A 2,836-nucleotide genomic window follows, 5' to 3' on the forward strand; every position below is an offset into this window, starting at 1 on the left:
ACATTGGAAACAGACATTATTAGTATTGATGTAGCTGTGGACTCTGAGAGTTTTTTAAACTCTTGTAAATTTTTAAATGTCACATTTGAAGCTCATTTTATTGACAGGAGATCTGTGCCATCACAATGAGATATCTATAAACAATACTTCAAATTAGATTCTTTGGAAAGGGAGAAGAGATCTTTGAGTAAGTTTATGGAATGAAAAAGAAACTGACCAAACTTTCTTTGTCATATTTATAGAATTTCAGATTTGGAAGAAACCTAGAAATGTAGAAGTGCAGCCTCTTTCAGCTCTCTGCCTGCTATATTATTTTATAGTCAACAAACAAACAAAAACTGGGAACTACAATGTAAAGTGGCTTCCTCAATGTCATGATTTGCTGATAAAGGAGCTGTAACCAAAACTCAGTATGCAAATGTATCAGTTATCTATTGCTGCCTGAGAAACCACTGAAAATATTCAGTGCCTTTAACCCACCTTCATTTAATTTACTTATAATTTGGTAGGTTAGCAGTTTAGGCTGGCTTCAGCAGGATAGTTTTCCTGTTAGTTTCACCTGGAGTAACTTGTGGTCACAATCAGCTGGTGGCTGGGTTGGTCTAGGAGCCCTACGCTAGGATGACTTATCTCTGTTTCATCTGTTTTATGTGTTCTCATTTTTTTCTTTCTTTCTGTTTTCTTTTATTTTTTATTTTTTTATTTTTATTTTTATTTTTTGATATAGGGTCTTGCTGTGTTGCCTAGGCTGGAGTGCAGTGGCATGAAGGTGACTCACTGCAGCCACAACTTCCTGGGCTCAAGTGATCCTCCCACCTCAGGCTTCTGAGCAGCTGGGGCCACAAGCACATGCTACCACGCCCAGCTAATTTTTGGATTTTTTTCTTTTGCAGAGATGGGTTTAGCTATATTGCCCAGGCTGGCCTCGAACTCCTAAGCTCCAGAAATCCTCCCACCTCAGCCTCCCAAAGTACTGGGGTTACAGGCATGAGCCACTGTGCTTGACCTTACGTGTTCTCATTCTTTACAAAACTACCTTGGTCTTCTCTTGGTGGCTAAGCGGTTCCTGTGGTAGAGAAGACAATCCCCAGTGCACAAGCACATTTCAATTAACACTTATTAAAATGCTATTAGCTGAGACACATCACATGATTATACACAGGTTTAATGGATAAAGAGGTAGACTTTAACTGTGATGAAAGAAAAAGCAAAGTCAATTTTTCTTCAAAAGTAAACTTATCTTTTAATGAACTTTATTTCTTAGAGCAATTTCCATTTCATGGGAAAATCAAATAGAAAGTAGGGTTTCCATACACTCACTCTCCCCCAGGCCTTGCTCATGGCTTCCTCTATAGTGATATATTGCATTAGTGTGGTATGTGTGTGGTTACAATTGATGAACCAATATTGATATCTCATTATCAAATACAGTGCATATCTTTCATTAGAGTTAACTTTATTTGTTGTCTAGTTCTTTGGGTTTGGTCAAATGCATAATGTCATGTATTCACTATTATAGTATTACAAAAAAATAGTCTTACTGTCCTAAAAATCCTCCGTGCTCTGCCTATACATTCTTTTCTCTTCATTAATCACTGGAAACCACTGATATTTTCACTTTCTCCATAGTTTTACAGATCTTTTCTTTTCCAGATGTCACATAGCTGGAATCATATAGTATGCAATTATTTTAGACTGACTTCTTTCATTTAGCAATAAAATTTTAAGCTTCCTCTGTGTCTTTTCATGAGTAGAGAACTCACTGTTTTTACTGTGGAATGATATTCCATTCAGTAGATGCATTATGGCTTGTTTCTCCATTCACCTTTTGAAGGACTTCTTGGTTGTTTCCAATTTTTGACAAAGATGAATAAAGCTGCTATAAATGTTCCTATGCGGGATTTTGTGTGAGCATTACCTTTTTCAACTTATTGGGTAAATACTTAGGAGCACAGTTGCAGGATTTTATAATAAGACTATGTTTATCTTGTAAGAAACTGACAACCTGTATTCCAAAGTGGCTATACCATTTATACTCATACCAGGCATAAATGAGATCCCTGTTGCTCCACATCCCCATTCGTATTTGGTGTTGCCAGTATTTTGCATTTTAAACATTCCAGCAGGTATGTAATGGCACCTCATTGTTTTAATTTGCAATTCCCTGAAGACAAATGATGTTGAGGATCTTTTCACATGTTTAGTTGCCCTCTGTAAACTTCAGCCTATTAATTATAATTATATTGAATTCCCATTCTAATAATTCCCAGATCTTTGTCATATTTGAATCTGATTCTGACATTTGGTTTTTTTTTTTACTTGATACTGTAGTTTTGCTTGTAGCATATCCTGTTTTTTTTTTTTTTTTAAGTCAGACATGATGTATTGGGTAAAATGAATTGAGGTAGTCAAGCCTTTAGAGCAAAGTTCTATGTTTATCCAGCTTGGAGTTAGACTGTGCCTAGTGTTTGGTAGAGCGGTGTTGTCAGAAGCTAAAATTACCTCTGTGTCCTTGTTTTTTTCTCCTTTGTTGTCTTTGGATTTTCCTAGAGATTCCTTACATGAAGTCTGCGACTTGCAGTTCTGTTATCTGCAATCCTCTGCTATACAGGAGCCAAACTGATGTGGTGGCAAGGTGTATGTGAGGGAAGGGAGGCATTCTGTCATCATCAGATGAGGTCTCAGTCTTTTAGTGAGTCTGAGTTGGATATTTTCCTTCCCCCTGTCAAAGGCTGAAGGGTGCTGGAGCTGGATATTTCTGTTTATTCAAGTTGAATGCTAGAATGGGCTGGAGTTGGGTATTTTCATTCTCCCAGTTTGGATAGGCTTTGGAAAA

General features: G+C 37.1%; 1 annotated feature.

Annotated features, from left to right (window-relative positions):
• Nucleotides 1,860-2,361: an enhancer, noted in NCBI's record as "NANOG hESC enhancer chr8:137348736-137349237 (GRCh37/hg19 assembly coordinates)". NCBI's record gives its function as "activates a minimal SCP1, AML or CMV promoter by ChIP-STARR-seq in naive H9 embryonic stem cells {active_cell/tissue: H9 hESC(naive)}" and the evidence as "EXISTENCE:reporter gene assay evidence [ECO:0000049][PMID:30033119]".

The sequence above is a fragment of the Homo sapiens genome, chromosome 8 (genome assembly GCF_000001405.40).
Source record: "Homo sapiens chromosome 8, GRCh38.p14 Primary Assembly".
Lineage (NCBI taxonomy): Eukaryota > Metazoa > Chordata > Mammalia > Primates > Hominidae > Homo > Homo sapiens.